Below are 15,298 nucleotides of genomic sequence, written 5' to 3' on the forward strand. Positions count from 1 at the left end.
TGATGGAAGTTCAAACACGGCGTGAAATAGTCTGTTTGATGCAATTGTCATATACTGGCATAACCTTTGGCAGCTGATGGGCTGTTCTATTGGTTTCTTCTTCAGGCAGTAATGGAAAGCTTTTGCATTACCAGGCAGTGTATTGATGGAGGATTAGGTGTCAAAGCCCAGAGTTGTGCTAGATGGCATCAAATCCCCGTCCCATTAGAACTTGAATAAGATCAAGGCTCTAGATGGAATTATCAGTCTGTAGGGATGCAGAGGACAGCGGAACATGTTAAACCACAGCAGTGTGATACAATGAGAAAAATCCAGAATGTGGAAACTATCAGACAACCTAGTTCCTTCAACAACAACTTTTTTTTTAATTGCAAGGAAAGATTAGAAATAGAGAAGAAACTTTATAAAGAAATTTAAAGAATGTATCAAAGAATCATAATGTATGAACCTTATATGAATCCAGATTCAAGCAATCTGAAGTTAAATTTGTATTATAATATATTGAAATGCATATTTGATATAAGTAATTATTTTCATTTTTAGGTGTGATAATATTCTGTTTTTTTTAAAAATTATTTTTCAGAGACACACTGAAACACTTATAGGTGAAATTATGTGATTATTGGCACTTACTCCAAAATAATCTGGCTTGGTAGGCTAGGATGGGATTGACACAAGGGGAGTTGATAGGAGTATAAATCAAACAAGATGGTCAAGTATTGATAATTCTTGAATCCAAGGGGTAAACCTAACTGGTTTGTTATTCTCTTCTCTCTCCTTTTGCATGTATTTGAAAGTTTCCAAAATAGAAGTTAATACATAGCTACAATATATACATAAACATACATATACAATATATCAATATATATATATTCCACAAACTAGGTAAAATTGCAAAGTTTCATCCAGGTTTAAATATTAAAAAAAGAATCCTTTATCACTGCACACCTACTAGAATGGCCAAACCCCAAAACACTAACGTTTCCAAGTCTTTGTAGTGAGTACTGAAATAATGTATGAAACTAACAGATTACTCTGGTGTATACTGCTACAAACCTGGTAACTTTTTAATATCACACGTAGACTTACAGTCAAAAGGGAGACTCTAAATTGTGTTATAAATTAGGAATCTCAGAACCTGAGGAACATTTGGATTTAGTTGGAGAGATATAAAATGGTACTGCATGAAAAATATGTGAAATTTAATAATTTTAATGCAAATATGTAAAATAGAAAAAGATGCTAAAGGGCTTAGCCAGAGCAGGACTTTTACATGCCCTGGAGTCCTGCCAGGATCTTGACCTCGAATAGGTATCTTTTGTGTTTCTGAGTTAATTTCCTTGTTGTTAAATAAACTTTGTTTTTTTTCTAGTTGGGGAATGGCGGTCAATGTGTATTCTACCTCGATAACCCAAGAGACTATGAGCAGACATGACATCATTGCATGGGTTAATGACATAGTATCTTTAAACTACACAAAAGTGGAACAGCTTTGTTCAGGTAAGACATATTCTTTTAAGTGTTTACCTAAATATTTACAGTCTGTCATGTGGAATGTGATTTTATGAACCACAGCTGCTATATTTTGGGTAGGAAAAAGTATATATTGCTATTGGCATGTAATTAAAGGGGGAAAAACTCAGATATAACTAAAGGACGTATTGGGAAAAGTGTTTATGAGCATCCAGGAGCACAAGCAGAGCCACACGGACACGTATTGGAAAGGTCTCTTGCTTGAGCTTCGTAATGCCTTTCACTGGCTCCTAGCCTCTTCTCTGTCATCCCATCTGCCATCACACTTGCCTCCTGAAAACACCAATTGGTTCTTACAACACTCCTCCTTTAAAACCTCTAGGGCTCCACGTTGTCCTCACTACAGGATAAACTTCAAACTCTTTTCATAGACTAATGAGGTCCTTATTAGTCTCAATTCCACCCTCCACATCTCTCTCCCTTATACCTCAGACCCACAATATAATCTTTGTTCCCTAAAGACTCTTTCCCTTTTGTATCCCATAGCTTTTTTCATGGTTCCTTTGCTGAGATCTTTCCCCTTCTTTTCATTTGTGGGAAAATCTTGCTCATACTTTAAAATCTGGTTCACCTGCCACCTGCTCTGGGAAGCATTCCCCAGCCTCGCAGGCTCCGTGGTGTTCCTGAAACACTGTGCTCATCCTCCAAAATGACACTTGCCACGTCGTGTTAGGATGTCTAACTCCTTCTAGCCCTGAAGGTGCTGAGAGTCCTTGAGGACAGGACTGCGTTTTGTTCTTTGTTGAATGCCTGTAGTTGCCTCTACTTGGTATGAGGTAGGTCTGCAAGGAATATATATTGAGTTAAACTTCTTTAAAAAATAAAAATATTTGACTTCAATGACAAAATAGGAGGATGTTTTAAAAAACGTGCTGCTAGGCCAGGTGTGGTGACTTACGCCTGTAATCCTAGCACTTTGGGAGGCCAAAATGGGAGGATCGCTTGAGCCCAGGAGTTTGAGGCTGTGGTGAGCTATGATTGTACCACTGCCCAACAGCCTAGGTGACACAGTGAGACCCTGTCTCTAAAACAAAACAAAACAAAAAATATGCTGCTAGTAAATTAATTCATTCTTAGGTCTGAGTATTTATGAAAGAAATAAGCAGTCCTCCTTTGGAAACAGGGAATGTTTCCTTCCAGTAAACAAATAGATAAGAGATTTCTTCTTTCCCTTTGGCTTCAACATGAAAATGGTATTAGAAAATACCACTGAAATGTATTTGTGTGAAATTTCATGAGTCAGAATAGGTAGGAAGAAGTCAACATTGCTCTTTTTCCCAGAGGGTCAAGTATAAAGATTTTATACAGTGCAGTTAGAATTTCAAAAGCCCCCAGTAGTCACTTTCAGATGTTGTCTGAGTCCAACACCCACCAGTGTAAATATTCTCCCTTCACCAGGTCTGGACTTGATCAGAATACTCCTAGAGCACTAACTTTGAGTATGATTGACATCCTTTTCCCTGTGATCATTTTTCCCACGAGGAAGACAGTAAGGTTGGCCAGAACTTAGGCGTTGCCTCACTCACAAATCTATGCCTAGGTCTCAGACATGAAGTCTTGTGATTTATGAGGTCAGTAGTGGGTGCTAGCTAACCACTCCTTTGCCCTTCAATACAAGATAGAGAAAAGCTGACTTAGACTACGATGATGATGTACCAGGCATGTATATTGTTGATCTACTGAAATGTCTCTAAAAGTTACTTTCAGAAACAACTTGTATTGCAGCTTATGCAACTTCAGATCTCTACATACCCAAATATTACTGTGCTGTTCTTGCTGTGCATTCTTGAGCTAATATTTTATTTTTAACTTGCTGCCAAAAAAGAAACCAAAAACAGTTTCTGTTATTAGCAATCACTTTGTTGATAACACATACCCCTTTGTATTGTAATTGTGAAATTGTCTATTTCTTCACAATGCCTAATGCATGGTTTTCCTTCAGAAATACTCATTTTGGAGATGAATGAACTGCAATTTGCAACTGCTAAGGGGCAAAGACAAAAATGTGTATCTTACCCACAAAGTGGGTATATGTGCATTTGGATAAGGGAAACAAGGTTGGTTATCAAGAAAAAGAGACATAGGAAGGAAGGGGATAAGGAAAAGGCTCACAGAGAAAATCCCCAGGCATGAGTCTTAAATGTTAAAGGAAACCATGAGGAACTTCCTATGCTGAAATACACTTGGAGAGTTTTTGGTAGCAAATGAAATAAGAACAAATTGTAATTTTTAGATACTGTAGTAAATGTATTTATAAGCAATATACATAATCTTTGCAGATCTTTGAAATTTCTCATAAAGCAAATTCAACAAAATTTTAAGGGACATTTGTAAAGGATTCATATATGGTGATCTTAAAGCATTGGTGTACATTTATGGCCTTTGTAGCTACACTGCCATCAAGCGTGGCTTGATTTAAAAACACAAAAAAACCTGTAGAAGCAATTTTGATCACTATCAAACAGATACACATAATTACCATTAGGATAACTTACTGGCTGCCTAAAATTACAGGATTGATGGTTCAGAAGAATGAAGTGGATTTAAAGTTTCCTTTCTGCTCTGAAATATGTTTCTCGCTAGAAAAAAAAAAGGAAGTTAATCTCCATAGTAGAGAAACAGGTCTTTTATTTTAGGTAGCAGTTTTCTCAAGGTATAAACTATAGACTCTATTCTTTTATAATTTCCTGGGGAGCTGCTGAAAAAAAGCAGATGACCTTCTAAATCGGTACCTCTGAGTATAGCCTAGAAATCTGAGTTTAACAAGTACAAGTTTAAGTACTTTTGTGCTGCAGCCTAGAGCTTGCAGTACATTTTACCCCAGACCAACAAAAATGAGGTTAAATTATCCAAACGTCCTTGGAAGTTTCCTTGTTCATAATTTAATCTGTGACTTTTGTCTTTAGCATTTAGCAGGAAGAAGCTATCTTTCTATTTATTTATTTATGAAATTATTTATTTATACCCTTCATTGTTCTAGAAAATATTTAAGGCAGCTAGGACAGTGCTATTAGGATAGGAACAAAGCCAAGTATTGTTGACTTAAGTGACTTATATTCCTCATACTTATGAGTAGTCAGATTTCTTATGTAATATTTTCTTCAATGTTTATTTCAATTTTTTTAGTTTACTGTGTGGGATTTTATTTTAGCAGTATGCCCAGGAAAAACATACAGGAAATACTTTCTCATATTTAAAATGATTTAAAATGTCAACATCATTTCTTACTCTCTTTCCTGAAGACTTACGCTCCAATCCTGGTGGTTCCCATTTTGAATTTTTTTCCTATTGCATTATTTCCTATTTCTGTTTTTAAAATTTTCCAGCTAAGAGATCTCCCTCCAGCTCAGTATTAAAACTAACACCAGCTTTTCTTTAATTTGTGAAGAGCTAAAAGATTGCCTCACATTGGTGTTGTGTTTTACTCAGTATTTTCTGCCTTTATGTAACATCTAATTTGTTTCCAGGTAGGCATTTTTAAAAGCTCTTTAAAGGAAAGATGGCGTGAGAAAGTAGAACACTTGGAAATATGTTTGTAGTAAGTTGCAAAACAGTGAAAATGACTCACTGTTATCTCCTGTTATTTTATCCCAAGAATATAACCTCATGAAAATTTTCTTTGAACATTAAATCTGGGTCATGTAATTATATGGGTATCTGGTTTTCATTTATTTCTTGTGACAAACAACCTTTAAGTTTCAAGTAAAAGGTGAGCTATATAAATGGAGAGTGGGCTATCAATGAATGTGAATACTACCTATAATAATTCAGCAATCTATTGCTCACCTAGATCTATTTTGAAATGAATAATTGTAGATTTTCCATGGTGGAGTGAGAAGGTTGAACCACATGTAGTATCAGATTGGTTCAGCTTATAGATATTTTATATTTTAATTCAAAAGTTATACAGCTTGGGCAGGGGGGTGATAGGGAATTTTTTTTTCATTTTTTGCTTTAGTACTAGCTCAAACTAATTTACTAAATCTTTTATAAGGTAGCAATGAGGGTGAATGGACAGCATGGTGCTAAAAATCTCTAAAAGCTTTAGCAACTTTAGATACCTTAGTGGAGGTGATAGAGAAGATAGGGGACTTAGAGGGGAAGAAAAGGAAATGGGGAGGGAGGAGTAGGGTGGAGTGGGAGAAAGTACATCTTTTCCTTGAAAGTACATATTTTCCTTCTTTTCCTCTCCCTCACTCCTCACCTCAAGCCTCCTTTGAGACTTCTTTGTGACATTAATTTTCTGTGTCTTGATCCTCTGCCCTAGGCTGGAGCTAAGCAGCAAAATCACTGGGTCCAATGCTGGGTCATTCTTGCTGCTTGGCAGACTGAGTGCCTGCCTTGACTCCCATCCTCACAAGGCTAGTGCAGCCTGCCCTTTTCTCTTTGTGCACCTTGCCTCCCTCCTCCCCACCCCTCCACTAGCCGAGCAGACACCTGACTTGGGGCAAATGTTAAATACAGTCTGCATGTAGGGCTGGCACTGCCTGGACTGTCACTATATCCTGGACTGTCACTGTCTGTCACTGAAAGCTGTTATTTTCCTGAGCATTTTAGTATTTTAATAAAATGTCATTTGAATTAAACCATTTTTAGATGGAAAATTGAGATATTTTCTTGACTTGCTTTAAAAAAAAGAAAGAGAAAATGATCAGGATTTGATTCAGTTTCAATTTGTGCTTCCCCAAATTGGTGCGAGCTTTGTCTTGGATCAAGTCACTGGTATTTTGTTCTTCCAGGAGAGCTTCTGAATTTGGCTAATGATATTGTAGTCACATTTGCAATTCTGGTTACGTGATGGCTATGTGGAAGGAGCAAGTATTTAGAGTACACTCTGGCATTCACACAGGTGTAGCCATCAGATGGCCCTGGGACCCGTGGTGCAGGTGCTCCGGGCCCCACCCTGATGGCCATCATTCCTGAGCCCAGCAGAGTGTTCTTTGTGACCATTTTTGGCCGCAGATTTGTGCCTGTTAGATAGGTTGATCCCAGCCTCGTGTGTTGTCCCTGTGCCTCCTCTCTTCCATCCACAGAGACCTCTGTCAGGACAGGTTACCGATGAAATCTGCTCAGAGTCTAAATTTAGTAGGGCTTCTCTTATTGGCTCTCTGGTATTGAAACCAAGTAAGGATATTCTTTCAGTGTCTGTAAGCATAAGAGTTTACTTAGCTTTATAAAATCATTGACTGTTATTTGCTGTAAGAAAGTTAGGTCATCTTAGATTATATTACTATTGTTAGGGAGGTAATTGTAATGGAATATTATTCATACTTGTGATATATTACATAGAGTCTTTTTGGTTTTTTTGCTGACAGTTTTTTTCTCTAATTATTTGACTCATGCTAATTTTAAAAGTTTACATGGTCTCAGCATATCAACTAATTGGAGAAGAAGGGGACAAAAAAAAAAGAGTTGGATAATGGTGGGGAGGGGTCTAGCCTCATGTTCAATTGCTTCAGGCAGTAATATATGGTAATATACTCTAGTGTCTCTACTAATGCACTGGTTGAAAGGGAGTTTATTTTTGGAGCAGGATAGATAATACAGTAGGTTTTTTTTCCCTCCAAATTTGTTCATTTACATCTTGACACTTTGCTCCCGAAGATGAACGTAAATTGCTGTTTCTGTTTTTCTTGGGACTTTTTGTTTGTTTACTGTCTTTTGTAATGCTGAATACCATGGTGGTGAAAAGTGTGTATGCATTCACTTTCATTTACCAAACTGCTCTATAATTTTTTTTACACATATGGATGATATATCTTTGAAAGCAACCAGCCACATCTTCGTTTATGTCCTTAACTACATTCAATTCTATAATCAATTTAGTTTTATTTAATAGGCATATTTTGAGCCTTTCTTTGGGCTAGGCCCTGGGGACCCAGCGATAAATAAAACATAGTCATTGCCCTCAAATAGCTCAGTACAGCAGAGTACTGTCCTACAAAAGACCAGAGACCACACTGTGGTAAGTGCTGGTTTGCAAGTGCTTTGAGCATACAAAGAAGGAAGTAAATGAAGGGAGGTAGGGACATAGGGAGTCAGTAGAGAGATTTACTCAGATTCTTTGGGAGTGGCTGGGTGCTTCTGGATGAAAGAATGGCCATCGTTTGGGAAACACCTCAGAAATGTCCCCCTCCCTCTTAAGTCAGATGGAGTGACAAGTGTGTATGTAGGATAATGTGTGGGGTACTTAGTTTCATTTACCCTGACAGACTCCCCAGGCTAGGGGGGCCTTTGTCTTATGACACAGGGACTCTAGTCAGTAAAATGCATGTGCTTTAGTGGGTACAGCCCTTAAGTACATGAAGCATATTGTCATCTCTAAAGAAATATAAAGGATTTTCTTGATGATCTCATCACATGAGTATGTGAGAATTGTTATTACTCTACTTGTTTGAAGGAACTAGGCATGCGTGTGGGATATTCTCAGGAAACCATAGAATTGGCCACTTCTTTGGGAGGAATGCACCAGATACTTTTAAATACTAAAGCCAAACCTCAGTGATAACTGCTTGGGTCTCTAACTGGGTAGATGTCATGTGACTGCATTAGTATTTATCACAGGAACAGACCTACAGATATATCCCTACATCCTATTACCCATTTCTGCTGGAGTCTCTCCTGGTTAGTGACGAACACCATAAATAAGGGGAAATTAGAAAAACAGGCTTAGGGAAAAATAGATCACCTGGAATGCCATTGTTTTATTGAAGACTAACAATATATATACTGAACAAAAAATCAAGGAACATGTGATCACAGTTAACTTTATATAGTGCCTTAACAGGAATAAGTGAATCAGTGACATATTAGAAACAGGATTAATAATTGCCTTTGAGAAGTCTCAATAAGTTCTCTCTCTCTCTCTCACAGATACGCGCGCGTGCGCGCGCGCACACACACACACACACACACATACACACACACACACACACAATTGGTACAAAGCAGTACCATTAGTGGGAATCTCATATTTTTTTCCCCATATGTGAGAAATTCCCAGATGTCATAGTTGAGTGCAGTCTTTGAGGTTCTTATTGAGTATATCACTAATTCACAAATGCTATTGTATCTACCCTACTATAGTAAGACCCTGCTGAGATTTACCTGCCCCCAAGCCATGAATAGGTGGGTGGTTGTGAGCCTAGAGATGAAAACTGTTGTACCAAGGGATGGGTCATCAAAAGAAATCTAAGTTGGATACAGTTAATGAGAGTGATACTGAACATAGTACTAAGGAGTCTCTAAAGCCTCATCATTGATTTCATTAACTTCAGTGACTGGAGCCCTAACTCCATAGCCCCAGGGATCTTGACAAAGGTTGTGAGAAAACTTGCTGGAGTCCAAGGACATGACAGGTTTTAAGACTCATTTATAATTCATAATTCTAATTACAGAAACCTTTAGAGCCATTTCTCTTCTGATTTTGTCTCTGTTATATGATAAGTTGCTTTCTTTTAAAGTACATAATGATATGCTTATTTTGAAATCATTCACCAAGATCAATAAAAACCAGTATCTTAACAAGAAAAAGATTTATCTTTCAACATATTGAAAGTTATTTTGAATTTTTAAAAACATGTCAATCACTTTATATGATGGATATGTTCCTTATAAAACACTATTTTGTATTTACCATGATACTTTTTCTTTTTCTTTTCTCCCTTTCAGTTTAGATTATCTAAAGACTTTAACAGGAAGAGTGTAAATTTGGGGAAAAATAGTCATTTCCTTTTATAAATGAATTTATGATTACTTAAGCACCTCATATGTTTATCTGAGGAAAGACTTAAGAATTACAGAAACCCTCAAATGTTTTTCCACAGATGAACTGGAGGATCTTAGAAATGTGTTCATACCCTTTCTTGTCTGGTAGGAAGCCAAGGACCTCATTTTATTCTTTGGTTCCTTGTCCTTTGAATCTAAAACATGCATTTTGGAGATTCATGTTTTGCATCTGAAACAGTCCAATTCAAGCCCATTCATTTTTATAGCTCTGATTATCTTAACCGGTTACATACTATATAGTTTTATACATTAGGGGTATAATGATGTCATAATGCCTCAGCTTTTATTTCTCTCTCTCTGCCATTTTCAGTGTGTTTTTATATGTATTATTTCTTTTAATTCATATAACAACCCCATGAGGAAGAATAGGAATATTTTATTCCTATTTTATGAGGCTAAAAGCTCCAAGAAGCCATGTTCACAGCTGATAATGAGAATTGAGGTGTCCTTGGATCATAGCCCAGTACTCTCATTGCTGTATGTGTGGCAGCTGTGGATGCAACGAAGGGTTCACTGTGTGTTTGCCCATGTGGATGTGTTTCTGATTCTTTCCATATCCATTTAGCAGAAGTCCTTTAAGCATCTCCTCTAAGAAAAGAAAGAAAGTCTTTATCTCCATCCTTTACATTCTACTTGAAGAAATGAGACATATCTGGTAATTCTACTAATGACAAGGGTGTGTCCCAATGGTATCATCATCAAGAACTTTCTTACCAAAAGTAACGAGACAGAGACATTTGCTCCTAGTCTTATGAAGTTCTTCCTTCTCCACCTGCTGCAAGTAGAGTGGGGAAAGAGCCGCCTGTTCTCTCTGATTGTTCTCCTTGTTCCTTTTCTTCCTCTAACTTCTTTCCCTCCAAGCAAGATGAGGTGGCTCTGAAATTTTGCCACCTGCCATGGAGGAACTTTGCAGCTCTCTCAGGATAATTCTTGGCCAGTGAAACAACAACCAGGATGATGCCTCCTTAGACATTTGCATGTGCATGTCTCTGCACTGTCTACATTTGAATCCCAAGAATATGGTCCTTTTCTTATTTTTATCCCAGGCTAGCTTTTGAACAAGCTTGTACCTGAGAGAACTACACATCCTTATTTCCTCCTTTCTATGCTATTGAGGAAATTACAACATCTCCTAGGATAATTTTCTTACAAGCTTGGTTCCCACAAAGGATTTACTTATCAAGTTATCACTGTTTTCCATGTATTTAATCCAGTTCAATAAACCTGTATTGCAGTAGCCATGCTAAGAGGCTCCATCAGTACTTCTCCAACCCCTTCTTTAATATGAAAAGTTGATGGTTTCTTAGTCTTACGTAAAAGGACTTACTAATGCAACATTTAAGAGTAGACACCGATTTCCCATCCAGCTCTATCCCTTCATTCCCATGTCTGGTTTCCCAACTCCAGCCAGATTGCAGCTCCTGAACTTTTTCCATATAGCCATTCTAGATCTGCCAGTGGGTATGGTAGCAGACACTGTGCTAGTGAAGTAGAAAGATGAATTGAACATCATCCCCAGTCTTAAAGATTTACTCACCAGTCAGCCAGGAGAGAGAACTAATTAAAATGTAAGTCAAATCCCTGTTAGATTTCTGTATCCAGTATAGTGAAACAATTTTGTGTTGGAAACAGGAAAGCTTCGTAGAGGAGGTGATGTTTTGACTAAGCTTTTAAGAATGAGAAGTTATTCAAGTATAAAAGAGGACGAAAGGACATTTTAGACAAAAAGTTTGATCAAGGCAAAAAGAAGTTGCAGTGTTTTGTGCATGTACATTGCATGTGTAAGACATCTGTAACATTAAAATTCAAGGCAGCGAAAGAGGGACAGTAATACTTCAAGTAATAAGTGCTGTATTCAAAGAAAGGAAAGATTATTTCCATCTAGAAAAGCTTTTTGTCTTACCCTTGTTTGGGTCTTTGGCCAAACAGTCATTCAAATTTAGTGGATGGTCAATAAATATTTATGAAGTTGAATTGAATTGAAATGCTATTCAAACTAGGATTTTAATATGGATAGGATTCAGACGGAGAAGAAGATGGTGATTTTGAGGAAAGTTACCATTTAGATATCATTTTGATATTCTACACATTGCTTTATTTATTCCTGCAGTCAGCAGATATTTATTGAGTACCTGCAATGTGTCAGGTGGTGGATTAGGATTGGAGGATACACCACTATACAAAACACAACACAGATCATATCCAGTTAGGACCTATCCCTTTACTACCAAAGTTCTCCCTGACAGGTCTATTCAGAGAGAGCAAATTCCTTTTTCTCAGCTTACCTGAGTATGAAGCAAAGGCAGAGAAAGGCCCCTGGAGAAAGGTACACGTCCAGCCTGTCTTGCCATCATTCAGTGTAGGGCACTAATGGGCAGTCTGTACATGGAAACATCTGAAATATTAGCAGGCATCTGGTTTCTACACAGTTAAGATAATCAAGCCAAACATCTCCAAATTCTTCTGCTCTTCAAAAGAAAACATTTTTCCTAACCAATTTTTTTCTGAATTGTGTTTTTAAATTTCTAGTTTATCAGACATGTAGACACTATTAAAAAGGAGTGTCAGAAATCACTGTCAAATGTTTGGGCATGTTAGAATTGCATACCTGGAAACAGAATAATGAAATTGCTTGGCAACTCGTAAAGACACCATCATTTTTCAGATTGCGTTTTTTTTTTTCCCACCCTGAAACCATTACGTAATTCTGACAAATAGCAAATTACCTGTGTTTGTCCCCTCCCTCCCAAGGGTGTGTTCTTACCCAAATATTAATACTCATAAGCTTTTTATGACCAAATTATTTGACATGAGAAGCATATAAATGTGAAACTAATGCGAGTCCTGTTTCCTGCAGTTTCTCTTCGCATTCTGCATGAGGAGGATCGTTCTCCATTTTCATTTCTTCTAGATTACATTTGTATGACAGCTCATGGAAGAACTTTACAAAAGTGTAGAAGGAGCCAAATTTTAATGAAAAGATGTACATCAACTTTAAAATTGCGCAGAATTGTGTTAAAATCTACTATTTAAAAACCTCACAGAAATCTTTTCCTGCTTCTTTTTTTTTCCAAAAATTATTCCATTCTTTTATTTCTACTGTGGTCATATGATTGAATCCCTGAAGTAAATACTGTGCATTCTTCAAACTGATTTGGGATCCTTCTGATACTAGAGTGTACCTAGAAAGCAAAGTATATTTTGGGATTAACCTGGGAAATATAAAGAAAGCAACTCATAAAGAACAATATTCTGTTAGTATCACAGTCTGCACGAATGTTATGTGGTGCCTGAATGTGAGTTCCTCTCTGTCTGTAATTGCTGGAGGCTTCCTTTGGTGCCACACCTGGCCTTCTGGGCTTTCTCTGGACGGGACTCTTTTCAGGGAGCTGCCGGGGAAGGAGCATCCTCCTCTGGAAAGTGGTAATAGGGGATGTTATTGGTGTAGATGAAAGCTAGAGGACTGGACTGGGGAGAGTGGCCATAAGTATGGAGTTCTCACCTGCAAGTCTTGGGGAGAGGGTGAAATGGCTGAAATCTGGGGAAGAATCCTGGAGCTTCTAGTCTCTAGTGCCAGGGATAGTGACCTCAGCCTCAAAATGAGCAACTTGAGAAAGGGGCGCATTGTGTAGACGTGGACCGTGGGTTTGCGCTGGTCCACTCATACCAGTATATTTTACCTTATACTAAAAGCCTCTCTGTGGGCTGCCATACATAGAGTTCATGTAGTGGCCTGGCCTGTATAACTGTTGATAGTATGATGTGGGTAATGGTTCAGTAGAAATTCTCTGAGAAAATGGGGAAAGGGATCAGCTTTAGGTTTCTTACTTGCAATTTAATTTGACCTAAAAATACATACGTTCTGGGCCGGGCGCGGTGGCTCACGCCTGTAATCCCAGCACTTTGGGAGGCCGAGGCGGGCGGATCACGAGGTCAGGAGATCGAGACCATCCCGGCTAAAACGGTGAAACCCCGTCTCTACTAAAAATACAAAAAATTAGCCGGGCGTAGTGGCGGGCGCCTGTAGTCCCAGCTACTTGGGAGGCTGAGGCAGGAGAATGGCGTGAACCCGGGAGGCGGAGCTTGCAGTGAGCCGAGATTGCGCCACTGCACTCCAGCCTGGGCGACAGAGCGAGACTCCGTCTCAAAAAAAAAAAAAAAAAAAAAAATACATACGTTCTGAAAATTAGAACTTAAAAATGGCATTCTCTAAAGACGTTTGTGCCCAGAAATCAGCATTGGTTTGCCTACCAAATTAGTTAAGCTTCTTCTTTTCCTGGCATTTAAAGCCTTGAGCAATCTAGCTGCATTCCACCTTTCCAACATTTATCCCCACAGCCTCCCTACCCATAACCTGTATTTCCTCAAACGCACGTTTCACTTATATGCCCTGATTCCTTGTCTTTGCTTGGAGTATCTCCTTTGAAATTCATATCAAATGCCACTTTGCCCTATTCTTCCTGATCACATTCAACAAAATGTGAGCTCTCTCTCTCTTTTCAATGATCAGACCTTTACAAAGCCTTACGCTCATTGAGTACTTGTTTTAAGTCTTCAGCATTCGGAGTTAAGCTCCTTGGGGACTGAAATGATCATGCAAGTTTGGCTTGATTTTATGTGTTTGATAATACTGATTACTCTTTGTTGTTTTTTTATTGGGCAGACTTTGAACTAACTGTATGGAACTAATATTTATGTATCTATATTTATAAATATTACTAATATTTATGTATCTAGGCCATACAGTTTAGCACTTATAGTTGTTTTGTATTTTTGCTGTTTTTCCATGTGTATTTCTCCAGACTCTCAAGACTAAGTTACTTGGTTCTTATTAAGACTAAGGTCATATTCCTCAATAAGTATTTGCTGGTTTGTTTAACATTGCTAAATAAACAAAGTGACATCTCTCCATGCCACCTACAGATGGGCATTTCTTTAGAGGTGACCTATGACTACAAAAATTAGATAAGATCTCATATCTTTTCAGATTCTTACCTTCTACTCAAGCTCTTCTTAAGTCTTACCTTAAATTTAAGTCTTACCTTAAATTTGACCTTACATATTTAATCAATCCTTTAAAAAATAAAGCACCTTTTTGTCCATTAAAGTAGAAGGGTAATACAAGTGTGTGAGAATACGTGAGTGCACATGTGGAGAAGCTATATCCCATGATATTAGAGCTTTATGAAACTTTCTATTTTCATGACCCTAATGAGAAAACTGACTTCTTCAGAATGGGTTTCATATGTAACTTTCGAACTTGTTTTTCATTTGTAGTAAAAGCTTTTTATGTCCCCTTTGCTCCTCTATCTGGAATGTCAAATTCTAACTTTAGCTCCACTCTCAGACTCTAGCCTGTGAGACATCGCACTGCCAGTTTCAGTATCAGCCTCCCTGGAAGCCAGTGACATTTTGTCCTGCACACCATTCCTGCCCTGTGCTCCCAGTGCCTCTCCTACTTCTTCCTTCTTGGCTCCTCTGGAGAAGCCAAATCATATTTTACCAAGTCAGACACCTTATTTTGGTAAAATTTGATGAGCACATTATCCTACAAGAAATCACTGGTGTTAGAATCTAGGCATGAAACTGAGCGCTGGCCACTGCACCATTAATCAGCAGACGAAAAGAAATCTGAAACCAATGAGATATTTTACTTGCCAGTAAAATCTCTATTTTCTAAAATTTACTTTTTAATAAAAATGTTGATACCTAAATCTTAATCAAGGGCTATTTGTTATATAGGTTTTTACTCCATTGAAATTTCCTTTTGAAAGATAGTAGAAAATACTCTTTATTCTTCCATGATGTTTCTATGAAGAAGCACTTTTAAAATCAATTTGTTACAGTAATATTAATATCTGATCAATTTTCTCTACAGCAGGCCTAACATTTAATGTAGTTCTGCAGGCTTCTTAATAAATTCAGATTTAAACATTACATTACTTTTTGGTGAAACCCTGTCTCTACTAAAAATACA

The 15,298-nt window shown here is 37.7% G+C and overlaps 1 protein-coding gene across 5 annotated transcripts in view, besides 1 other annotated feature; it reads left to right on the forward strand.

The window, feature by feature from the left end:
* Positions 1-15,298, forward strand: part of MAPRE2 (microtubule associated protein RP/EB family member 2) — a 166,444-nt gene that overhangs the window by 91,796 nt on the left and 59,350 nt on the right. For 4 of the 5 annotated variants that reach the window (NR_046177.2, NM_001143826.3, NM_001143827.3 and 1 more), the window contains one exon: positions 1,373-1,500. The exons of the other annotated variant lie outside the window; for it this stretch is intronic. Coding sequence is in view for 3 of the 4 variants with exons in the window: in NM_001143827.3 (NP_001137299.1) it covers positions 1,373-1,500 (128 nt within the window). In the remaining variant the exon portion in view is untranslated. The remainder of the gene's footprint in view (positions 1-1,372; positions 1,501-15,298) is intronic. 5 annotated transcript variants of the gene reach the window in all.
* Positions 3,138-3,207: an enhancer, noted in NCBI's record as "active region_13219". NCBI's record gives its function as "activates an Ori minimal core promoter by ATAC-STARR-seq in GM12878 lymphoblastoid cells {active_cell/tissue: GM12878}" and the evidence as "EXISTENCE:reporter gene assay evidence [ECO:0000049][PMID:35858748]".

This window comes from Homo sapiens, chromosome 18 (assembly GCF_000001405.40).
Source record: "Homo sapiens chromosome 18, GRCh38.p14 Primary Assembly".
Lineage (NCBI taxonomy): Eukaryota > Metazoa > Chordata > Mammalia > Primates > Hominidae > Homo > Homo sapiens.